At 36.2% G+C, this 26,595-nt stretch overlaps 1 protein-coding gene and 1 long non-coding RNA gene across 5 annotated transcripts in view; both read left to right on the top strand.

Moving 5' to 3' along the window:
• The window catches only part of NEGR1 (neuronal growth regulator 1), an 886,597-nt gene that overhangs the window by 422,762 nt on the left and 437,240 nt on the right, over positions 1 to 26,595 (top strand). The gene's annotated exons all lie outside the window — the stretch shown is intronic.
• The window catches only part of NEGR1-IT1 (NEGR1 intronic transcript 1), a 42,781-nt gene continuing 38,951 nt past the window's right edge, over positions 22,766 to 26,595 (top strand). The window contains exon 1 of the long non-coding RNA NR_046218.1: positions 22,766 to 22,798. This is a non-coding gene — a long non-coding RNA (NEGR1 intronic transcript 1). The remainder of the gene's footprint in view (positions 22,799 to 26,595) is intronic.

Raw genomic sequence — 26,595 nt, 5'->3', positions numbered from 1 at the left:
TGGTGATAAAACAGTGAACTAAAACCCTTGTGATAGCGGAGCTGACATCCCCAAATGTGGCAAGAAGCTGACAGGAGGTAAAATAAGTAAAATGCATACTATGTTGGATCTAGGGGCAGCAAATTCAATCTGCAGGCCGAATCTACCCTACTGCTTGCTTTTGTAAACACATTTTTATCGGAACGCAGTCATGTTCTTTCATTTACCTATTTATTGTCTATGGCTGCTTTAGTGCTACAAAACCCAGAGGCAGTTGCAACCAAAACTCTACAGTGTGTGTCTGTCCAGAAAAAGTCTGCAGACTTCTGGGTTAGATGCTAGAAATTAGTATGAATAAAAGTAAATCCAGGAAGTGGAAGAGGAATAGGATGTGTTTTAGAGAGAATGGTCAGAGGACAATTGATTCAAAAAGTAACTTTTGTGTAAAGCACAGAGGTGGTGAGAGAGCAAGCCATGCAGCGTTTAAGGAAAGAACATACTAGACCAACAGAAGAGGAAGTTCCCAGGCTCTGAGACAGGAGCATGCTCAGAATGTTCTGGAAACAGCAGAGAGACCAATGTCCTGGAGCAGAGTGAGGAAGAAAGAGAGAAGTAGGAGGTCAAAGAATGGGGGCAAAAGGTATCAAGAAGTCATACAGGGCCTTGCAGGCCATCAGAAGTTTTTGATTTGTATTCTAAGTGAATTGGGGAGCCATTGGAGGGTGAACACCAAGTGACATAGGACATATGATTTAACAGGATTTTCTTCCACTGCTGATTTGATAACACACCAATGGGGAACAAAGCCAAAATCAGGGAGGAACGACCTTCTAGTAAGAGTTACAGGGAACCAGGCATGAGATAATGGGGACTTGGAAAATAGGAGCAGCATTGGTGGGGAATGCTATATTTAGGTACAATTTTTGGTTTTAAAAAACCACAAAAATAATAATATAGGGCTGATATTCAACTAAATACTGCTTGTATTCAGTTTAGGGCAATTAAATGATATTTTGAAATGCAGTAAAATATTATTTTGTATTTTCATGAAAGTATATTTGTGTTACATAACTTTTCCCCAATAACCATCTGCTGGGAGAGCCATTAGGTATTTAGTAATTAAGATTTAAATGTGTTTTTGTTTGTTCATTTGTTTTCCATAAGGAGCCTGCATTTGATGTCCCATTGAGAACAAGTAGGCAGTCTGAAAAACGGGGAAAATATCAGCTAAGTTCCTTTAGATTCTCTTTACTTTTCTTCAATTATCACTGAGAAATTTGGCAATTTAATATAGGACTCTCCATCACTATCATGAATTAGCAAGGTTCCACTGTAATAATTATTTCCCATTAAAACCCATGAAGTTCAGGTTTTTCTTGATGAGTTCAGAGACGGCTACACAAATGCATTGCTCTGTAGGCAGTCTGTTTAATCTAATGCAAAAACCATAGTGGCTTTTAAAACTTACCTGCAGGAATAGCTGCAAACTGCATTCTAAATGATACAGATCTGAGTTTTAGAAAGGAATGTTTAAAAAGAAGAACAAAAATGAGAACAGCATATTTCACTGTGAGCTTTGGATAAGTGTAGGAGAAGGATGTCTCAATAGTAGCTCTCTAGGCTATAGACCCAAAGGATGAACTAGTCAAAAATGTGTTTGTGTTGCTGCAGAGAGTGACCAGTGATGATAACCGCTTCAATAGAACACCAGGGAAAATATGTTTAGGAAAATGGAAATTAGGGTAGAAGAAAGTGAAAGCCAAATTGCAACACTTGGTGTTAGAGAGTTGAAAAGAAAAGTGAAGCCTGCCAAATTGAATGCCCTGGAGAATATCCCCAGGGAAAGGAAATCATGCAAGATTCTTTAGCTTTGCAAAAAGGAAAGAAGAAAGGCTTTCTATAGCAAGTCTTTCAAAAACAAATCCCATCAGTTAGATTCTCTAGAAATTGTAGGGTTGTATAGAATTTATACAATATTTGAGACAAAAAGAAAATGTATATTTTGTTGAAGCCAAGCTAAATAGAATTAATATATCACAGTCAAAAGATAATAAAAGCACCATATATTTCTGTAGAGCTTTATTACTGATGAAGCATTTTCACATACATTCTCTTACGAATCCAAGGAAGATTGTGGTTCAATTTTTTTTTTTTTTTTTTTTTTTTTTTTTTGAGACAGGATCTCACTTTGTCACCTAGGCTGGAGTGCAGTGGCGTGATCTTGGCTCACTGCAACCTGACTTCCTGGGCTCAAATGATCTTCCCACTTCAGATCCTCAAGTAGCTGGGACTATAGGTGTGTGCCACCAAGCCCAGCTAATTTTTTTTTTTTTTTTTTTTTGTATTTTTTGTAGAGATAGGATTTGACTATATTGCTCAGGTTGGTCTCAAACTCCTGAGCTCAAGCACTCTACCTCCCTTGGCTTCCCAAAGTGCTAGGAATACAGGCATGAGCCACAGTGCCTGGCCTGTTTGTGGTCAGATTTTTCAGATGAGAAAATGGTGGCTCAGGAAAATTACAACAAACAGTTTTGGAACCAAGATTACAGGGTAGTTCTTTTGAGTTCTAACATAGGACTCTTCCCAAAACTCATGTTCTCTTTTACAGCAATGAAGTCTATATTGTATTCAAATGCAATATTAGACTTTTACAGTCTCTCAGAAGTTGAATGGAAAGAATCACTAACCACTGTCATTTTCACTATGATTTCCTGTTTGCAAGTCATCTCAGTGCGATATCATTTGCTCTTTTCATTTTACATACAAGGAAACTAAGTCTGGGACACCTGCCCAAGCTGAAAGGGCCTGCAAATACAGGAATGAGAATGGAAATCCATCTCTTTGAACACCAAAGTCCTTTGCTTCTTCTATTATAACATAAATACGATACATGAAAACATATATATCTTGACTTAACTCATGATAATGTGAACCATATGCCAGCAGATCCTAGTGAGGTTGACACTGTTAAAAAAGAAAATAATTCATATGGCATGAAGGGTTTCCTTTAGATCCTGAATGTTTCATAGAGCAGCTGAAATTTGAGCTCGAACTTGGGGTTTTGTAGAGTATTTTTATGCAACAATTAGCATAATGACAGACAATAAATGTTAACATGGACAAAAGAATAAATGGATGGGTAGACAGATGATATTTGTAATAATGCTGGAATTCTGTTTATCTCACTATTGCTTCACTTCCTGTTCAAAACATTCTCCTACCTATGCCAAGAGCTGTTAGGTGAAAATCCTCTCTGTTTCCATATTGTGAGGTATATTAGACTGTGATTCCTTTAAAGAAGGAATTATATCTTTCTAGTCACTGTATCTGACACACAATAGAGAACACATGTTTGTTAAATGAATGAATAAATAAATAAAATGGGTGAAATTAATGGATAAATAAGTGAATGGTATAACACTTCATCTGCCATCATGTGCTTACTCATAGGATAACTCACTCTTTCATGAAGATTTCCTTTATGGCACCTCCTCAAACGGAGGCTGCTTCTCATAATTTATCAATTCTGTACAGATGGCTCCTTATAAACTTATATTTCCTTATGTATCTATCGACTGGTAGGGCACTTACTTGGATAGATGACTGTCTTATCACTAGACCATCTACTCCTTGAAAATGGACACTATTTTTCACTCATTATTTTGGCCTCCATATTTTGAACATAGACCCTTAATAAATATCTACATTTTTTCCTGCCCCATTCTTAATCTCAGTCAGAAGGGCTCATGGGAATGGGATTAAGAAGTGTTGCCTACATAGCAAATAAAGCATGCTGAGACACATAACTGTAAGAAGGCATTTTTGAGGGCAGGCAGAGGAGTTGTGTGGTATGGCTGTAGATTAGAATGCAATTATATGTATGCTTACTAGAATCACGGTCCATAATTATATATTTAAGTCTGAAATTTCTAACATACTCCAACATAAGGTGCTCAGAATATATTTTTTCTAAATTCAACCTTTCCTAATAGAAATAATTTTACCTTATTGCCACCCAAAGCATCTATTAAAACAATGATTTTTTTTCATGATGACATTAATATTCTCTAAAATGCTTTGAGCACCTTAAAAGAAAAGTGTAATGAAAATTCAACAGAACATTATTAATTTTAAGACTGTTAAGAATGCATAATTCAAAGCTATGGTTACTGTACCGTAAGGATAATTAAGCATAATCAAAATAATAGGCTTATTGTTCTCAATACTTTCCAGGTCTCGGTATGAAACCTCTTTTTCAATTAATTTTTCAACATCTTCCAAATGCCAATATACATGTCCTATAAAGGACTTCCTATTTTTCTTCTAGAAGTTAAATGGCTATGGCAGCCTCCTCCAGAGTTGAGTTGCCTATTTCTGCTTCATAAATCAACTGCTTTTCTCCTAGGATGAGAGGAGACTTCAGATTCATTTATTCCATTTTGTAAGAAAAAAAATTATTAAGGGTCTTCCAAATAATCTCACTGGTGAAAAAAAATGAAGTTTCCTCATAGTTCATCAGGGAAAACCACTTGGCAGGTCAGGGATTTGAGTTTATTGAAAGAAAATAAAACGGGTTGCAGTTCGACCTGACAGACTGCTTATGGGGAAATATACAACAGAGTTAGATTTTTCTAGAAGGACTTTGGGCAATGAAAGTGATTTATAGAACTTCTACATGCCTAAACGTGATACTGTTTGGGGAGTATTTAAGGATAAGAAGTGTAGAGGATCTTAAATTCAAGCATCAAAACTCACAGGTCAACAGAAAGGTGAACTCAGAGACTTATATAGTTGACCTTGTGCTGTTACAGAATGCCCCACAATTGCTTGAGTCTTGGTGTGGATGGACATTGTTTTGATACCTAAGATTATTGATATGGTTTGGCTGTGTCCTCACCCAAATCTCATCTTGAATTCTAGTTCCCATAATCCCCATGTGTCCTGGGACGGACCTGGTGGAAGGTAATTGAATCATGGGGACGGTTACCCCCATGCTTTTCTCGTGATAGTGAGTGAGTTCTCACAAGATCTAATGGTTTTATAAGGGACTTTCCCCCCTTTGCTCAGCGCCGATTCTCTCTCTGTCCTACTGCCTTGTGAAGAAGGTGCCTTCTTCTCCTTTGCCTTCCTCCATGATTGTAACTTTCCTGAGGTCGCCCCCACCACCAGCAGTGTGGAACTGTGGGTCAATTCAACCTCTTTTATTTATAACTTACCCAGTCACGAATATTTCTTCATAGCAGCATCAGAGTGGACTAATACGATTATAATTATCATCACCTTTTGACTGACCAATTGATTTACAGTATTGAGTTCAATCTGTTTTTTTAAAAAATATCTTCTAAATATCAGGTGCTGTATTAGATGTGGGGTACAAAAATGTATTTTCATTTACTCACTAATTTGCTTAAAATTTATTTATTGAGGACCTACTATATTTTAGGCACTGTACTATATTCTGAGAATATATAGAAATTAATATAATTTGGGCCCGAAGTATAAGAGCACATAGTTAGGGGAAGTAATTTGAGAGCTCACAGGGGGAGCAATTTGCAGTCAGTGTTCTAAATGTAGAAATAGAAGTATGTAAAAGGTACCAAAAATATTTTGATGGAAGAGGATTTAAGGAAAGTTTCGAAGAGAACATAGGTTTGCCTGGTTGACAAGGTATAGGGCAAAGCAAAATGAACAAAATGTGTAAAAGTAAATATACATGACATTAAATTAACTTTTTTAATGCAACATGCTTAATAAAAATCAAATCCTCAACAAACAAGAATACAGAATCAACAACATTTCACCTGGAAATTATTCTGCTCTTTGTGCTGAGGGTTTAAAACGACCAGTTTCAACTCAAGCCTAATAATTTGTTTTGCACATTTCATAATTGATCCATTTTGCTCTGAACTAAACACATTCATATTAAAACAGACGTCTAGCAATGCTAATAACCAAAGTGAGAACCGCTTTATAAATGTAATCCTGTCCAAATAACAGCACAACTTTTGAAAATTTTGTAAATAAATGTCAGAAACTTTATGATAACAAAAACTTTATGGCTGCTTTCTTCTACTGTCTCTTGACCCTTTCTGGATCTGTCTATTGTGGACAGAAAGCCTGTAAATTCATAGGCACAGAAGGATGAATTAAAAAGAATCAATATACATTCAGTCAGCCTCAATTTTCTCTAGTGAGAGTATCTAATTTCTGCCTTTTTTTTAACTACTCTGAATGAAGCAAATCCCTAGTGTGCTACATAGCTCATGGCATTTTTCAAGACAAAGGCACGGTTTGGAAGAATTCTGCTCAATTATACTGGACACAATTGTCTTTGTAAAAATATCAACACTAACATATATATTTTAATGGACTTCTAAACATAGCTTATAAATCGCATAATTATTAAGCAATGTCACATTAAATCCTATATGTCATCTCTTTACGTGGAATAACAAGAACACAGTTGTATCTGAAAATTTATTATGCTGTATATTTGAAAATGGCAAATTATTACCTTTTAATTGTAGCAAATTATGAGTAGCATCTGTAAAAATATACCAACATTCTCAAGATTGATAAAAATTATGCATATTCCGTGTAATTTAATTCAATAAACACTGAGGGCATACTCTTTACCAAGCTCTGAAATTACACAAATAGATATAAGAATATAATATTCCAATCCTTTCCCTGAAAATTCACAGTTTATTGTCACTGATTAGAGCCTGCAAATATTTCTGAGGGTCAACATGGATTTTCCCCATGATTCATGACTATTAGAAATTTCTTTAACTTTAAATGTCCAAATTCGTTATACCACACATTGAAATCTCTGTGATCTCTAGACATATTTTGGTTTGTCCTATTTCTATTACAAGCGTTTTCCATTCTTTAGTTTTACCATTCTTTCTCTTTTTTTTCCTCTTTGTCCATTTTTTCCAGTCAGTTAGCAAATTCCTTCTGATTATTCCTTTGGAATAACATTCACATCAGCTTTTTTTTTTTTTCCTGGCCATTTCTGCATTAACTTCAAACCTACTTACCTCTCATCTGTATTACTAAAAACCTTGTGTTCACTTGCCTCCAGTCTTGTCTTTTTCTAATTGAAATCTGCAAATTACAAAGGTGTAATACTCCTGAAAATATCTGTGCAAACCGTTCTCTGTTAAAACAAAACAAAACAAAACAGTTGTGGTCTATTGTCTGGAAATGTTGCACACTCAAGTTCCTAAAAAGGCCAGGTCGGTAATAAAATAAGTAAAGTGAATAGAATAAGACAATCAGGAGTGCTAGAGATTGTGGCATGCGTAGGCTCCAGATAAGATTTAGAAGGCACTTAGGTATAGCTGATTGTTTTCATATTTTTCATATTGAAATATGGGTTTTTTAATGTTTGATGAAAAAATATACTAAATTTTCTAACTTTTAAGACACTGTGTGGCCAAACAAAATATTTGTATCTGCTGTTCTCACACAGTTCTGACAGAATATGAAAAGCAAGCTGCCGGCTTGTCAACTCTGGTCTATAGAGTTAGACCACTTTATGTTGCCTGGATTTTGAGGTCCTGTGACATGTAGTCCCATTGTCTGTCTCCAGTGCAATCTCTTATTATGTAGCATTGACTTTCTGCCTGTTCTTTAAGGGACTATACCTAGTATTTACTCCTTGCAACGATGTATGGAAGTAAGAATCACTTAAAAGATGAAACAGTTTAAATGTTTGTCAGTAGCTACATGGTAAAGGATAGCTTTATAATTCAAATACAGTATTTTCTGGTTCCAAAGTCTGTGCCCTTTATACTTTGCTATGCTATTTCCTGAATACACATGTAAATAGGATATACATCTTCCCAAGAACCTTGTGTAAAAGGAACTATTTTTACCTTCATTTTACAAGTAAGGGAAGTGAATTACATGAGTTGTCTAAACTCAAAAACTGTTAATTAATTAGTAAACTTAGAGTATAAATCCACGGTTTAAATATAGAGTCTGCTATCTTAATAAAACTGTTTACTATACTACATAATTTTTTTTAATGAGCAAACAAAGAAGTAAATAGAATTTACTTTAAAATCCCACTCAAATGCTACAGTTTCTGTAATGATTCTCTTGCCCCTCTTCATGAGAAGTAATCTCTTCCTCCAATCAGCTACCGTGGTATTTTACCCATATTTTTCTTGTCTAACCTTGCATTAAAAATCTCTTTTACTAAACAAGATCAGTGTGTTGCTGATTGTGCAGATCCCTGTGCATAGTTGGAGCTTATAAAATTGTGTTGAATGAAATTAGAAATACATGAATTAAAAAGTGTTATTTCCTAATACAACGATTGTGCTATGCATAACTGTAGTAAAAATAATTTTAAAAATTAAATGAGTTTTAAAAGAAAATTTGCATTTTTAGCACACCTCTTGCTGGCAGTGCTCAAAACTCTTGGTTCAGTATAAGGCATCAAAACTGTTCAGTAAATTATTTAGAAAACATACCTAGGATGTATTTGTAAAATATTAGGAAGAAAAAAATCATCTGGTTAGGAAATAAACCAGGGATCATTTGTGTGGGCGGTAATATCAACATGAAAACCAATTCCCCTGGTAACACATTGCATAAAAACATTTTGTTCAAACCAGGGTATTCTGCTGCGTTGTGTGGTTTCCTGCCAAAATGTTCCTTTGCTGTCATGTAGATAGCCAAAGCTATCTGTTAGGAAAAATCCTTCTCTACTCAAAGAGCCCAACTCAGCACTTTCAAAGGCCCACAGGAAACACACGCTCATCTTGAAACTATCAGAGGTGGATGATTTTGATAAATACAGGTAGTCTGGCACATGGTCCATGAGACTACCCTTTTCTAAATCCTGAATCAGAAGTTACTGTAAACTATATTCCTAGCACACAAAAAAGTCTCAGCCTTGAGTGCTTCAGGATTGGGCTTCTTTTTAAGTATGTTTTAGTGAGGAAATTTCCAAAAACCAGTGTTAGAGTCTTTATAGATAATGGTACCTTAAAATAATAAATAATATTGTATTCCCTAGATACATTATTGCTTAAATATTGGAGCATCTGAATGAGGCAATGCCAAATCTTTTCCACTTAACTGCTCTCTTTCCCAAGTTAACAAGAAAAACAAAAGCATTACAAAATAAAAAGCAAAAGTATGTAGAAATAATTTCTCATCATTCTGCCCAAAATAAATGAGATGAATGAATAACATACAATCACTGATACATACTCATTTACTTAGCAGAAATTTTAATTTGTAAAGCATAAAATGTTCCAAAAGGGCCGTGTAGGAGTTTATTTTGACCTACAATTAAGACATATTCTTGACAAGACAATAGATTTGGCTGGGCGTGGTGGCTCGTGCTGTAATCCAAGCACTTTGGGAGGCTGAGGAGGGAGGATTGCTTGAGCCCAGGAACTCAAGACCAGCTTAGGAAACATAGCAAAACACCATCTCTAACAAAAATATAAATATTTGCCGGGCATGATGGCTCATGCCTACAGTCCCAGCTACTCAGGAGGCTGAGATGGGAGGATTGCTTGAGCCCAAAAGGTGGAGGTTGCAGTGAGTCAAACTCAAACCACTGCACTCCAGTCTGGATGACAGAGCAAAAACTCATCTCAAAACAAACAAACAAACAAACAAACAAACAAACAAAAAAAGACAGTAGATTATAAATGTTCTTAACACACACACACACACACAATGGTATGTAAGTAATGGATATGTCAATTAGTTTGTTTAGACATTCCATAAAGTATACATACAGGCATATTTGGGAGACATTGCCAGTTTGTTTCCAGACCACTGTAATAAAGTAAATATTGCAATAAATTGGTGGCACATTTTCACATTTTTATGGGTTTCCCAGTGCATATAAAAGTTATATTTACACTATATTGTAGAGTATAAGTGTGTAGTACCATTGTATCTAAAAAAATGTACACACCTTAATTAAAAAATACTATATTGCTAAAAATGCTAAGAATCATCCGAGCCTTCATCAGGTTGTAACCTTTTTGCTGGTGGAGGATCTTGCCTCCATGTTGATGGGGGGTGGTTGCTGAAGGTTGGGGTGACTGTGGCAATTTCTTAAAATAAAACAAGCAAGTTTGCCACATAGATTGACCCTTCCTCCTTTCACAACATATTTCTCTATAGTATTCAATGCTATTTGATAGCATTTTGCCAATATAAATTGTTTTAGAATTAGAGTTAATCCCAAATTCTGGTACCATTTTAGCAAATAAATTTATGTAGTACTCTAAATTATTTACTGTGATTTCGTGTTCACAAGATCTACGCCAGGAGTAGATTCCATCTCAAGAAATCATTTTCTTTATTCATCCGTAACAGTAAACTCATCTTTCAAGTTTATCATGAGATTACAGCAATTCAATCACATCTCAGGCTCCACTTCGAATTCCAGTACTTTTACAATTTGCACCACATCTGCAGTTACTTTCTCCACTGAAGTCTTGAACTCCTCAAAGTCATCCTTGAGGGGTGGAATCAACTTCTTCCAAACTCTGGTTAATGTTGATGTTTTGACCTTCTTTCATGAATCATGAATGCCCTTAATGACATCTAAAATGGTGAATATTTTCCAGAAGGTATTCAATTTACTTTACCCAGATCCATCAGAGGAATCACTGTCTGTGGCAGCTATAGCATTATGAAATGTATTTCTTTTCTTTTTTTTTTTTTGAGACAGAGTCTTGCTCTGTCACCCACACTGGAGTGCCGTGGCACAATCTCGGCTCACTGAAACCTCCACCTCTGGATTCAAGCAATTCTCCTGCCTCAGCCGCCTGCGTAGCTGGGATTATAGGCGTGCGCCCCCACACCCGGCTAATTTTTGTATTTTTATTAGAGATGGGGGTTCACCATGTTGGTCAGGCTGGTCTCAAACTCCTAACTAACCACGTGATCCACCCGCCTCGGCCTCCCAAAGTGCTGGGATTACAGGCGTGAGCCACTGCACCTGGCCATGAAATATATTTCTTAAATAGTAAGTCTTGAAAGTTGAACTTACACCTTGATCCATGGGCTACAAAAAGGATGTTTCGTTAGTGGGCCTGAAAGCAACATTAATCTCCTTGTGTATGTCCATCAAAGCACTTAGGTGACCAGGTACATTGTTAAAAAGCAGTGATATTTTTAAAATAATTTTATTTCTGAACAGTAGGCCTCAACAGTGGGCTTAAATATTTAGTAAACCATACTGTAAACAGATGTGCTGTCATCCAGGCTTTGTTGTTTCCTTTATGGAGCACAGGTGGTATAGATTTAGCATAATTCTTAAGGGCCCTTGGATTTTCAGAATGGTAAATGAGCATTGGCTTTAACATAAAGTCACCAGCTGCATTAGCCCCTGACAAGAGAGTCAGCTTCTCCTTTGAAGCACGGAAGCCAGGTTTTGACCTCTCTAGCTATGAATATCCTAGATGACATCTTCCAATATAAGGCTGTTTCATCTACATTTAATATCGGTTGTTTGGTGTAGCCATCTCCATCAACGATGTTATTTAGTTCATGTGGATAATTTGCTGCAGCTTCTACATTAGCACTTGCTGCTGCACCTTGCAATTTTATGTTATGGAAACAGCTTCTTTCCTTGAACCTCATGAACCAACCTCTATTAGCTTCCAACTTTTTTCTCTGTAGCTTCCTCACCTTTCTCAGCATTCATAGAGTTAATGAGGGTTAGGGCCTTTCTGTGGATTAGGCTTTGGCTTAAGGGACTGTTGTGGCTATTCGATCTATCCAGACCACTAAAATTTCTCCATATCAGCAATAAGGCTGTTTTGCTTTCTTATCATTTGTGTATTCATTTCAGTAGCACTTTTAATTTTCTTCAAGAATGTTTCCTTGGCATTTACAGCTTGATTAATTCTTTGGTGCAAGAGGCCTAGGTTTCAGCCTATCTTGGCTTTCCACATGTCTTCCTCGCTAACCTCAATCATTTCTAGTTTCTGATTTAAAGTGATTTAATCTGATTTAATCAATCTAGTTTCTGATTAAAGCATGTGACTCTTCCTTTTACTTTAATACTTAGAGGTCATTGTAGGGTATTAAGTGGCCTAATTTCAATATTTTTGTCTCTGAAGGAATAGGAAAGCCTAAGGAGAAGGAGAGAGACTGGGGAATGGTCAGTCAGTGAAGCAGTCAGAACATATAGAACATTTATTGATTAAGCTTGCCATCTTACATGGGCACTGCTTTTGGTGCCCCAAAACAATTAAAACAATTACAAGAGTAACATCAAAGATCACTGATCACAAATCACTAAAACACGTATAATAATTATGAAAATGCTTAAAACATTATGAGAACTACCAAAATGGGACACAGAGACATGAAATGAGCTCATGCTGTTGAAAAAATGGTGCTGATAGACTCGCTGGACACAGTGTTGCCACAAACCTTCAGTTTGTAACAAATGCATTATCTGTAAAGTGCAATGAAAGGAAGATAATAAAATGAGGTGTGCCTGCATTTCAAAACATTATGTTGTACACAGTAAATATATGCAATTTCTATTTATCATTAAGTAAATATCAATAAACAGTCTGAACAGTTCATCTCAACACAGCAGAGGGGATGAAATGAGGCCTTATTCCCCAGTGTAATAAAATATTCTTGACCTCAGTGCTTCTGACTTGATATCCAAAGCCAACTTGAGTCAAATGGTCTATACTGTGAGATGGGGGGATTTGATTGGAGTGGTATACAGAGTAGTAATGTGAAAAGAAAGAGAAGAATTCATTTTGGAGAGTAAGTACTGTGGGAGAAGAAAACATTGCAATGCTTAAATGTTTAAATATGTGCTATGGTCTGAAAATTTGTGTCCCTAGCAAATTCATGAGTTGAAACCTAATACCAAATGTAACAGTATCAAGAGATGGGTCTTTTAGGAGGTGATTAGGTCATGAGGGTAGAGCCCTCATGGTTTAGATTAGTGCATTTATCAAAGAGGCACAAGGAAGCTTGTTTGCCTCTTCCGCACTGTGAGGATGCAGCAAGAAGGCACTGCCTATAAGGAACAGGCCCTCACCGGGCACAGAGCCTGCTGCCACTTTGATCTTGCATTTCTCAGTCTCCAGAATTGTGATATATTTCTAAGTTACCCATTCTAAGGCTTTTTGTTACAGCAGCCTGAATGGACTAAGACAATATATAGGGTGGTAAAGAAAAGAGAGAACAGCTAGAAAGTAATATGTGTGGAATTTCTGGGTTCTTCAAGGGTATGGGATGAAGTGAAACCAGAGGATGAGAGAGTCAGCTTTACTATTTATTCACATTTTTTCCCCCAGGAAACAATTCCTAGAAAATGTGTCAGCAATCTTTTTACTTCCATAACCTGCATGTGTGTGTGTTTGTGTGTGTGTTTGTGTGTGTGTGTGTGTGTGGGTGGGTGGGTGGGTATTTGTAGTGCTGAAGAACAAAGGAGATAAATCATACAAGTAGTTAAGACCTCTTGTTGAGTTAGATAGATGTGGCTAATCGGACTCCTAGGTACTTGGTATTAGAAAAGGAATCAGATTTAAACACTTCTCTATGAGCAGAATTTTTATTAGGTTGGGGGGGAAACTTGCTTTCCATTCAGCTCAACTTCAGAGGACAGCCCTAGAGTAAGGAAGAGAATAACAACCTTTCTGGCTTCCAGGTTGGCAGGAGAGAGAATAACAGAGGCCCTGGGGTCAGACCACATGATTTAAATCTGGCTCTTGGCTGGGGGTGGTGGCCCATGCCTGTAATCCTAGGGCTTTGGAAGCCTGTGGTGGGAGAATAGCTTAAGCCTAGGAGTTTGAGACCAGCATGGACAACATAGTGAGACCCTCATCTCTTAAAAAAAAAAAAAAAAAAAAAGCCAGGTGCCGTGGCATGCCCTTGTAGTCCTAGCTACATGAAAGACTGAGGTGGGAGGATCCCGTGAGCCCAGGAGTTTGAGGCTGCAGTGAGCTGTGATCGTGCCATTGCACTTCAGCATGAGTGACACAGCAAGAGCCCATCTCTAAATAAATAGATAGATATGTAGGTAGGTAGGTAGGTAGGTAGATAGATAGATAGATAGATCTGGCTCTATTGTCCTTTTTGCTGTGTGAATTGGATCAACTTACTCTCTTTCTACCTCAGTTTTCTCATTTGTTTAAAAGTGGAGATAAGAAGAGTACCTCTTTGTAGGGTTGTGGTGAAAATTGGCTGAATGTTAAGTGTTTAGAATAGGACATGATAGTCAGTGCTCAATAAATATTATTTCTAAGTACTTAGTTTCATTAGTATTACTTAATTTTGGTGATACTTGGTGAAGAAATTGGGGCAGCCTGATTTCCCCTGAGAACAAAAGTCTTCATGGAGTCCATTATGTGGGACTTTGTTTCTTTTTTCTTACCATCTCCTACCCATCTCAAGATCTGATTTTTAAATATAATAATAACTTTAATTACTTATTAAATTGATTATGATTTATGCCTTCTTATTTATGCACAAATTGGTTACTATTTATGCTTTCATATTTATGCACTTATTTATGAAATATATTCTGTGTAGATATATAAAATTCTATAGTTATTTATCAAAAATAAAAACAAAAATTAAGCTACACTCTCTGAGCGCTATGTAGAAATTAACACAGGAAATGTTTCCTTGTGACTGCATACTGTGCAATTAAAATGATGTAAGTCATTATTTATTAAGAACAATTTCTGATTGGTTTGAAAAAGAACCATTGTCTATTATTCCTAACATTAAACCTCTATTTGCCTTGACCTCAGATTAACTCATACTAAGAAAACATTTTAATATATATGTTCAAAACCTGAAATAATTTCTGTCTGCAAATCTGAACTCCTATAGAAGGCACTTTCTTGACTATATCCTGGATAGTCCCCCTGGGCAGGCCTGTCTGTTCAAGGATGTCCACCAGGATGTCTAGGAAGACAAGACAATCTCTGTCCTGGGGTTGGGCCAAGGCCAGTCACCATGTGTTAGTGATCTGACTTCTCTCATTCCTTTAATCTCCAAACTCTTTGCTTCTCTCTTCTACTGAAGTCACCCTGAGCTGTTTGAAAAGGCTGGTGAGAAACTAATTTCTTATCAAGCCTGAGGCGTAGTATCCTGATTTTATGCCATTCCTGCTAGTCTAGATTGAACAATAAAGCAGGAGAACTCAGAGTGGTTTCAATACGTGCAAACGGGTCAAGGACAGCTTCCATGTGAACACTGTTGGCAGGATTGTAGTTTCCTACAAATACTTCCTCTCTTTTCAGCAGCTTCTTCAAAACCTGAAGGATCACCAGTAAGATTTAGGTCATTAAGAATGGCTTTGAAATGCCTTACTGTGGCAAATCAAATGTTATTTTTTCCATTAAAACCATAAGTAAAACTGATTTTGATTCAGTATTATGACCCTCTCTGTTAGGGAACATTAAACACTGTTGTCAGGATCAGGAGGCCCTGATTTGGACACTATGGTGTGATTCAAACACAAGTGTTTACAAAGGAAGGCCCACTTCATAAAATTCTTGCATTCTGCTCTTTTCCCCATTGAGGCATTATGTCTTTGTTAAGGGATGGTTACATCCATAGTTCTCATTAGTTTGATTAATGGTATACCTCTAATAGAGGCTGCTACCTGACATTTGGGGAAAAATACATGGCAGGTAATTTTTAAAAATACAGAACCTGTCCCCTTAACCTAATTTTATTCCCTCTGGTAAGGGTGGCAATTGGATGTGACACTTATCATTGGGATTGGTCTGACATCCTCTCTTTACCTCCCTCTCCAGTTCAATTAAAAGAAGGCTAGCCTGGTTTTCTGGAGAAACTGAAACAAATGTAGGGAGAGAGATATTTCATATCCCTAGCATGCTGTCATGTCCACAAATTTTGAACTTTACATTTCCTGCCAATTAGACATGTTAAGATTTCACTAGAATATTGAATTAATGGAGCGATTCTATTCATAATAGATAATGAATCTCATGCCTTTTTAATTAGAAAAACAATGAGGTATAAAAATAGGTCAATTTCAGATTTTTTAAATGCTAAGCTAGAATTTATTTTCATAAGTCCTTGCTTTGGAGTTCATTTTGGATCTCACTGATGAGACTATTTTCTTCTCATTTCATCTTTAAAACTATTACGAATGTTTTACTACCCCAATTGTTATCAACTGTCTCCTGTGATAACAGAATGTAACTTAAGTTTCAGAATCTATTTTGTTCTGAGATAAAGCCCTTCTAACACTAGGAACAGATAGAGGATACAGACCTGGCCTTTGACAACCCCTTGCTTAGTGGACTTGTCTCAGTCAGCACGTAACTGGGAAAAATCACCTGGTTTGATACCATTTCAGTGCACAGGAGTCAATAGCCTCGACTTCTGTTCTCTTATTGCCTAATGGGAAATGGACTTATTTTAAATTGACCCAGATATACTTCAAGTTGCTTTGTTTTTATTGGCTTGCCTTTCAATTTAATGTTCTGTTTCCATAGCTAAGTCTATTTATCTCCAAAGATCTAGAGAGCCCCTGTTTCTGTGCAATAGGACAAGCCTTTCTCCATCCCCTGCCACAAATAGGATGTTGCTGCAGCCTGGAGACTAATGACAGCCGCTGTCCTTGGGCATGGATGTCCTCTTTAATCAAAGTGAGTTCCCTAATGGGCACTATAACGACATTCATTTGCCATTTGGATGTACCTGATGTGACACTTGAGGCAATGCCATGATTACTTTCCCTTAAAAATGTAAAATAATTTCACAAAATCAAAAAGGCAGAAATATTGCCCAAAGAAGTTAAGTTTTTTAAAAAATAGTGCTATTACCCTGAATATGGGAAAGTGTTATAATCCTCTATCTCCCCAATGATAATAGGGTCCTTTCACTTTTAACTTGGTGACAACATTCTGTATTGGAGAAAAACAGATTCTTTGGTTGCAAAAGATGTTTATAGACTCCATAACAGAGCTTGCTAAGTTAAGATATACGATAATGATGTTAATTTAATGATAACATTGTTAGGCACATCTTAGAAATCAAATGTTTTACTTCCTCGAATTTGAAAGGTGTTTGATAATAGAGGAAATCACTGCCCACTGGAATTAATATTTAGAACTAGAATAATGTTTTCAAGATTTCCTTTCACACAAAATCTGCAACAATGCTGTAACTAAAATGCATGCAAGAAAGTGTTCTATGAAAAATTGGAAGACATGTTTAACAGTATAGATGAAGACATTTCTCCATCTATACTGTTTATTTACTAACTATAATGAAAAATATTTTAAAGATTTAGAGAAATTTCTTAATAGCTCCTTATTTCGTTAAGATCCTAGACTTAAGGAGCTTAAAGAATCTTCAGAACAAACAAAATGTATCTCCAGCTTCCTGGAAACAGACATTGAAAGATAGATGCTGTCCATGATGAGTTTGTATCTTGTCTAAGCATGATGAATCTAAAAATTAAGCTCAATGGATAGGTAGTGGATTTCCCCTTCAAAAGAATCACCAGGGAAGACACTTTCATAACCTTCCCTTTCACTCTATTCCACTGTCTAACAAGCCAGAATAGCCAGGCTTCTAGCTCCCAAAGTGTGACAAAGCCAGATCGTCAAGCAGCATGAAAAGGAAATAAAAGGACAGAATATCATGATCAATGGGAACTTCCCATGTGACTTCTGAGCTAACAAATGTCTATTACCAATCATCTAATAGGCAATGACAATGAGTTGCAAGGCAAAATGAGCACAGTTTTTATTTAGAACTGAATTAAATGCTGCCTCTACTGCTAAGTAGCAGTGTGTGATCAGAGCCTCAGCTTCCTCATCCAAAAATGAAGATACTTACGTTGAAGGAATTTTGAGACAGTTTTAAAAATTCAATCTAGCATATCATCAACACACAATAATTGGGAACTACTGTCAATAGTTACCAACTAGTTGACAATATAAAAAGCACTAAACCAGGTAATCTATGGGAAGAAAATGTATTCTTTTCTTTTAGGACACTATCCTTGCCTTTTAAAGAGACTAAAAGCAAGAATTGTATTTCTACGATATGCTGTGTTAAGAACATTGCATACATTATCCTTATAATGATGCTGTGAAGTAGAGATTTTTCTTTTTATTCTGAAGATGAGGAACTGGAAGGTTTGAGAGGCTACCTAATCTTTCCACCAGTGTGGCTGCAGAATGGGTACTCATAACCACCACATTATACTGACATGACAGTGTATTTGTCCCCAGTGGGGGACAAATATGTACAAACATAACTGAAAAGGCAGGATGCGATTAGACAATTGCGACTAGATAATTGTTGCTATACACAGGATAAATGCTTCTATGCATCGGTCTTTCAAATTTGGGGTTTGACAACATGATGTGCAATGAACTAGTAAATCGAATTTAATTTTTGGTTATACACTTTAAAAAGCTGTTTATTGAATACTGGAATTATAGCAAGTAACTATATTTTCCCATGCCTAGGAGACCTAACGTCATCTGAAAATAAAATAGATTTATATGTAAATTTATATTTGAAAATTATGTTATTATGCAGAAATTGAGAAGACATTCATGTTTTATATTATCCTCTTCTCATAGGATTCTTCATGTGATCTCTTGATCCTTCTATTGGGTGACTGCCTGATGGTCCTGCAGGTTTTATTAGTCAAGGTTCTCCAGAGGAATAGAACTAATAGGATGTGTATATATATAGAGAGAGAGAAAGAGATATACCTTAAGAAATTGGTTCATGTGATTGTGGAGGTTGGCAAGTCCAAAATCTTCAAGGTAGCCTGCTAGGCTGGAGACTCAGGAAAGAACAGTGTTGTAGTTAAAGACCAAAGGCTGCTCGCCATGAGTTCTCTCTTGCATGGAGAGGTTAATCTTTTGTTCTATTCTGGCCTTCAGCTGATTGGATGGGGCCCGCCTATATTATAAAAGGCAATCTACTTTATTTAAAATATTTCCAATTAAATGTTAATTTCATTTCAAAACATTCTCACAGAAACAACTGGAATAATGTTTGACCAAATATTTGGGTACCACGGTCCAGTCAACCTGACTCATAAAATTAATCATGACACAGGTTTTGTTGTGGCACAAAACTATTTATAGCATTCCAAGTTTCCCAGATGTTCATTTATCCACTGGAACTTTTTAGGTTTTGATTACTCTGAGTATCATAACTTTTATATAGTAGAGTGAAGTCTACATTTTTAAAATAAAAATTAAGCTAAGAATATAAAACCATTTATCAGTAGTATAACAATGGAGAAAGAGAATAAAGCTTTTGTTTCCACATCTGATATACCACAGAAACTTATTAATGATGTAGGCAAAGGACACAGACCCTTGAAGGAACCACAATAACTGGGTGTATCTACTTATTAGATATATCTTTTTTTTTCAATTCTAGAGATGAAATAAAAGATAACTTTGGAACACATACAAATACTTACTTTTAACATATCTCTAATGATGTGGTAATTCTGAACACTTTAGAGTGTTTATGGCAGCACAATTCTAAGCATATTTGCAGCTGTTGAACTATATTTTGCTCACTGTTCATAATCCTACAGATGTTTTTGATGTACAATGTTTACTGATTCACTTAAATCAGGTATGATAGGGAAACTCAAACTGATCCCACTTCTATAGTCCTGTAAAGCAAGCACTTCCAGGAATTATATTGACAGAAAAAGAGAAATCCGCTCTGGAGATAATGCATATAATCACATTTGATAAAAATGGAAAAGCCTTATTACATTATTGTTTGGTATCTATTTTACATCGTCACCTGCAGCTATGTTATGTTTCCATTATTCTAATACTAGTAAGAAGAAATCGCCACTAAGAATCTCAAAATAGAGGACTTATTTTGTAAAGCTGTAATTATGTAACTCGAGTTTCAGCATGTCCTTCAAAGAATGACAATGTGAAAGCTCTAAGACTACTGCAAAAGAAGCACTTTGAAGTGAATAGATTTTCTCCAAAAACATAGTAAAATCTTTTCAGAAATAAGGGTGGAGATTGCTTTATGAAGAGTAGTTTAAATGTCCTGGTTAAAATAAAATCCTCTGGAATATTTGCAAATAATATGCCCAACTCTGCAAATGAAGAAGCAGCCTGTTGTATCACAATCAAAATTATATTCCTCTATCTAAGCCACTACTTTTTGCTCTCTTGATTTTATTTTCAATAATTTTAATTTGTATTATTTCTTTAGAAAGCCCTGGTGCCTTTGAAGGATGTGTTGAAATTAATCCTAAGTCTGGTCTCGGCCAGGAGTGGTGACTCACGCCTGTAATCCCAACACTTTGTGACTCTGAGGTGGGTGGATCGCCTGAGGTCCGGAGTTCAAGACCAGCCTGGCCAATATGGCGAAACCCCATCTCTACTAAAAAAAAAAAATACAACAATTAGCTGGATGTGGTGGCTCACCCCTGTAATCCCAGCTACTCGGGAGGCTGAGGCAGGAGAATTACTTGAACCCAGGAGGAGGAGGTTGCAGTGAGCTGAGATCATGCCACTGTACTCCATCCTGGCTGACAGAGTGAGACTCTGTCTTAAAAAAAAAAAAAAAAAAAAAAAGTCTGGTCTCTTTTCAGCCAGCTGTACTTTTTTTTTTTTTCTCAATTATCTTCAAGGATTCTTCATGGGACCCCTTGTTCTTTCTATTGGATGAGTGTCTGATGATCATAGAAGTTTTGCTGAGGCACAGATATGCACACAGCATTTCAACTTTCCCAATGTGGTCAGCTGGCACTCAAATTTTCTAGGTGATGATTACTATAAGAACTTCAAGTTCATTCCTGTTTTAAAAACAGCTTACATTTTCTCAAACTCCATTACAGAATATCAAATCAACTTTATATTAACTATTCAAAATATCTCTTTATTGAAACTGATTTTTAATTTTACTTCAACTTTTATTGGATCTGTTTTTTAATCAAATACTGGCCTTTGCAGTTCCAGATTAAATCTCATTTGATTAATTTCAGGCCATTTATTCTAGGCTTTTTGTACTATTATGTGATGTCTTATTGCTTGATATACTCTCTCATCTGAGAATTTAAATAATGTTATTAACAACCAACTGCATATCATTTATGAAGATGTTTAACAGAGTAGAGTTCAAGACTACTCTGAATGAAACAAAGCACTTCACACTCACTGCCAAAGACTTGCAATATGCCTTTATATTTCCTACTTAGCTGATCAGTAAACTAAATGCAACCTATTAAAACCTAAGAACTTTCTAATGGCATTATCAACACCTTAATGTATCAATGACTTTTACCTTAGTCAAAGCTAGGAGTTCTTTGCTTGGCACGAGTAGTGATTTTCCCTAATCATTTTTAAAATAGATGTTTAAATGCATCTTTCTGTAGAAAGAGATCATTTATAATTTGATAATTAATTCCCAAAAGAGTATATATAGCTCCCAAATTATATAAGGATGTGCTTTCTTACATGGTTATATTTAAAACATATTTTATGCTGCATTTGAGCCATGTGGCAGAGCAGTGCCAGTTTGCCTTTGGCGTCTAACCTCTGGGTTATTTGTATTATCCAATTTTATTTTCTTGAAAAGTGAAATTTTTCTCAAAAGCGTATACTAACGATTTTCTAAATAACTTTTAGGCAAAATACATTATTTAATTATGTACTATGTTTGCATGAAAATAAAACAATAGACCCTAGAAACTGGGATAATAAGATCTTATTTTTTTCAATGTACCTCAAACAATGTGAACAAATGGGATGTTATCAGGGATTATAAAACTTTTAGAAAAATACATTTTGTCAGTCTTAATTAATAGTCTTAGATCTGGCATTAATATAGTTAGAACATCAGGAAGAATACAAATTTATCTTACTTTTAAAATGTACTTTTCATTGATTTTTCCAGGAAAGAAATAAGGGAACTAGATTATATATTTTAGTATTTGTTCTAATTAGGTGAGTACCCAATTGTGAGTGATTAACAATAGCTCAATATCTATTTCATGGACCTTGCTTTACTGCTTTAAATAGATGTTAATTAAGGTTGTGCTAATGGCGGTTTGGGAGGTGGGATTGCTATTGTAAATGGAGGAATATTAAAAGAACATTTCATGTTGAAAACATAAGATTATCTACTCTTTACTTATTATAGGGTAGATAGAGTGCTATGTTCAATCAGGGTCCAGTTATTAAAAGAGTGATGCAGAGAATGTGGAGAGAGTTAACAAGAGGGCAACAAACGTGACTGAATGCTCTGGATAAGACAAAAAATGAATGTATTTAACATCAACAAAATGTATTTTAACGGCAACAAAAAAAGTCTAAAGAGAAATACCATGTCAGTGTTCAAGTTATTTTCACACTAAAAGCACAAGGTCTGGAATGAGAGGGATCTATATTTGAATCCTAGATCCTCCTCTTAACAGCTGCCAACTTGAACCTCTCCTATATGCAAAGTAGGAATAATATCTACTTTGTCAGAGAGTTGTTAGGAACGAGGATGATATAAGTAACATGCCTAGAATAGTGTCAGGCATATAGAGAAGTCCTTTTGGAAATGATAGTCATAATTTCTACTATTTTTATCAGCTACTCTTCAAAAGCAATCTGAAAACAGGGTCACAGGGCTGTCTTGGAATTGCTAATCATGGAGTTACTTGTGAATAGGCTAGTATTTGTCAGAGATGCAAAGTGAGAGGAAGAGGTGACTTGACGGTAAACAGCATTAGATCAGTTAGTTGTTTCACATACTAATAATACAAGGAAGAGTCTGGCAGAATTCAAATTTTGCTGAATACATTGAGGTACAACTTCTGTTCCTGATTTTTTGTTTTCTTCCTCCCTCCCTCCTGTCCTTCCTCTCTTGCTTCCTCCTTCTCTTCCTTCCTTCCTTTCTTAGAAATGTCTTTAAATGTAGTTATGTGCCTCTGAAGGGTATTTAGTCATGAGGTCTGACTTCGCCATATGCTTTTTCTCAGAAGTGTAGTAGCGGGTAAAAATATATGGCAGTTAAGGAATCATGGTTAGGTTTTGTTTATTGTTCTTTATTTAACAATAGCAAGGAGTACTGCATACATAAAATGCTGGCAAAAATATAAGTGTAATTTTGTTTAGAGTGAGTTTTTTTTATAGGAATTATCTTTTCTTTCTGTTTTAAAACTGAAATCGCCGGAGTCCCAATTCTTTCTTAGGTTGTCTTGATATACACAGGAAGAAATAATGTTCCAGCAGGTTTCATTGTTTCCCCAAGCTGTACCTGTGCTAAGAGTAAGAGTACCGACTTCATATATATATATATATATACACATATATATTTTGTTGTTTTTTGTTTTTTTTGTTTTTTTGTTTTTTTTTTGAGCCAGAGCCTTGCTCTCTCGCCCAGGCTGGAGTGCAATGATGCGATCTCGGCTTACTTCAACCTCTGCTTCACAGGTTCAAGCAGCAATTCTGTCTACAGGCACCCGGGACCACTCCCAGCTAATTTTTGTATTTTCAGTAGAGACCAGATTTCACCATATTGGCCAGGCTGGTCTTAAATTCCTGACCTCAGGTGATCCACCCTCCTCAGCCTCCCAAATGCCTCTCATGTGCCTAACATTTTCTTTAAAATAAAGTGTAGATTTAACATGCCTGGATTTTGTCTATTTGGGTTTAACTCCAAAGTCAATAACATGCAGTACATAGTCAGAGATTAGGGGGTAGAGGCAGTATGAGATAATGAGGGAGCCTGATCAGCCACCCTGCAATAGCTTTGCCTTGTTATCTGCTAATCACCAGGGAGGCCAGAATTCCTATGATTTTATGTCTCACTGAAACAAATTAATTACTTAAATATAAAAGACACATATGTGCACACACACACATACTATAGACTAGGCATATATACATATATATAGTGTACAATCTCATTTAATCTTTTTAGTATCTCACTAACTCCATTTCACAGACAAGAAAACTGAGGTACCAAAGTGATAAACCTCCTAGCACAAAGTCACATAGTTCCAAATTGATAGAGTCATAATTCAAAAACAAAATAGTCTAGAGACTGTTTCTTTAACCATGATGCTACTATACCTTCCTTGGTTGCAATAGGGAACTGAAAGATTCAGAAACTGCAAGATTCAAGAAATTTGCAAAAGCAATCCCTTGTGATTACTTCTTGATATACATAGGTTGGGGGACTGACAGGAAATAACTAGAGTCATTTTGTTAATCAATACTAAGCATCCTCTTTTGTTAGAACCATGAAATTGCAAACAAAAAATGAAGGTGAGAGTGAAAGAAAAAGTATAATAAGGAAGTAGAGAGGTTGCAGGACAGTAATAACAAAAAATCTGATTTATTGCCCTTATGCATATCCTAACAATTTTTTATATTATGGTAGATTGCAAAAATGAGTACAATTTTTCTAATGCTCCCTTTGTCCTCAAAACTTTGCAATGTGACTTTGTAGTTCTTCCAGATAAGAGATAGAGTCTGTTTGCCCATTCTGCAAATCTTGGCTGCCCTTGTGACTTGCTTTCACCAATAGAACGTGGCAGAAAAAACATGATGCCAGTTCAGAGTTTTGTTTTGAAGAGAACTGGGGACATTTATTTTTCTCTGTCTTGAAATCTGCCATACTATGAGATAAGTAGAAAAACAGATAGAAACACATAACCCTATTAACCCCATCATTGTAGCTGGCAGCCAGCCAACTGTCAGTCATGTGAGTGAGCCAACAACCAGGCAAAGACCATGGAAAAAAGCCTAGCTGTAATCAGTCCAGCCTGGTCCAGATTGGCAGAACTGCCCAGCTGTTCCATAAACTTGTGAGCAAAAGTGAGTAAGTCACTACATGTTGGGTGTTTTCATATACAGCAACAGATAACTGCTGTGTGTGTGTGTGTGTGTGTGATCTCCTAAAATCTTAAAACGACGGTGTTTGGCAGGCATTATTACCATTTCAAAAATAACAAAACTCTGTTATTGTAACATAGCAAGGCTAGAAGCCAATATTTACTCCCAAGTTGTATAACTTTAAGTCCAGGTCTTTTCCTGTTCAGAAGGGAACAACATAAACAATTGTTAGCTGTATTGGTCACGATTCTCTTGAGAAGCACAATCAGTAGGAATTGGCCCACACAATTATGGAGGCTGAGAATTTCCACAATGTGTTTTCTGAAAGTGGGGGCCCAGGAAAGCCAGTTGTATAAGTCACTCTGATTCTGAAAGTATAATATCCAGTGGAGCCAATGGTATAAAACCCAGTCTGAGGGCAGGAGTAAATGAGATTAAATGTCCCAGCTCAACCATTGAGGGAGGAAAAAAAAATGGTTGGCAGGGGGTGGGGGTGGGTGGTGAATTCCTCCTTCCTCCACCTTTATATCTCTTCAGGTCCTCCATGGATTGGATGGTGCCCACCCACACTGGGGAGGTCAATTTATTTTACTCAGTTCATTGATCTAAATGCTATTCTCATCTGGAAACATCTTTCCAAGACACATCCAGGATAATATTTAATTTGGGGACCCCATGGCCCAGTGAACTTGACAGGTAAAAATAACCATCATACCAGTAAGTGAATAGCTAGATACCAATTTCTTCTTACTCCCAATTCAAATCCTTAAACCATGAATCAAAGCAAGTTTTATGAATCAAATACCAGTATCAATGTAGGTGGCTTCACATCCAATACAATGCAGTTTATTTGGTTAACATTGTGAAAAGGTAGGCCAAAATCCAAGACTGAAGTGAAACTCATTTATTTGTTCAACAAACATTTATTAATTGTCTGCCATATGCTAGGCCCTGTGCTTGGCACTATTATGCAATTAATTTAAAAATAATCCATGATTTCAGAAACAACTCTAAGCTGAATAATTTAGGCAGAGCAAGACAAGTTATTCATAAAGATGCAGACTAATTGGAAACCTAGTTTAAATGCTATGCTTATGCTGCAGTGAGAGTGCGCTGGTTCTAAAGGGAAATGAACATAAAGTTCTGAAAATAATGTCAAAATAATTAAGCACATGAAGAATGGCACTTGGAACCAAATTGCTTCAGCTCACTCTATAGAAAACACAATATAAATTTGGTGCAGCTGGTTTGCAACATCAGGTCTAGTGCAGTCAGAAGCCCGAGTCAAGTGCTGAAAGACTGACCCAGCTTTTGTATTGCTGGAGACAGAATAGGGAATCACACTAAGTACCAGCCTGCTAGAACCACCAACTCAAAATGCATTTGTCATTTGTTTTGTTTGCTTCTCTGCTTCCTTCTCCATTGCTTCCAGCTCATAAAAATACTTTTTTCCCCCCAGAAAGATTCTCTCTGTAGAGAATTCTAGTCTTGACCAACCATGGAGAAATAAATTTTCTCTTCTTTCACAGTATATAATTTTTCCTTTCTAACTCCTGAGAAGAGACCACTGATAGTAGTTAGTGGTATTTCCCTTTAGGAAACAATAGTGTCTAACTCAGAATTTTACAAAATCCTTTTCTATTTTACTATTGCAAAGCAAAGTCCTAACATCTTGTTACTGCCAGGTGCAAAAAGTACCTTTCTCACTTAAAAAATGATGTTCATAATGCATTTGACTTATATTTCTATTATTGTAAGTAAA

Source organism: Homo sapiens, chromosome 1 (genome assembly GCF_000001405.40).
Source record: "Homo sapiens chromosome 1, GRCh38.p14 Primary Assembly".
Lineage (NCBI taxonomy): Eukaryota > Metazoa > Chordata > Mammalia > Primates > Hominidae > Homo > Homo sapiens.
This window is presented reverse-complemented; position numbering and strand designations above follow the sequence as displayed.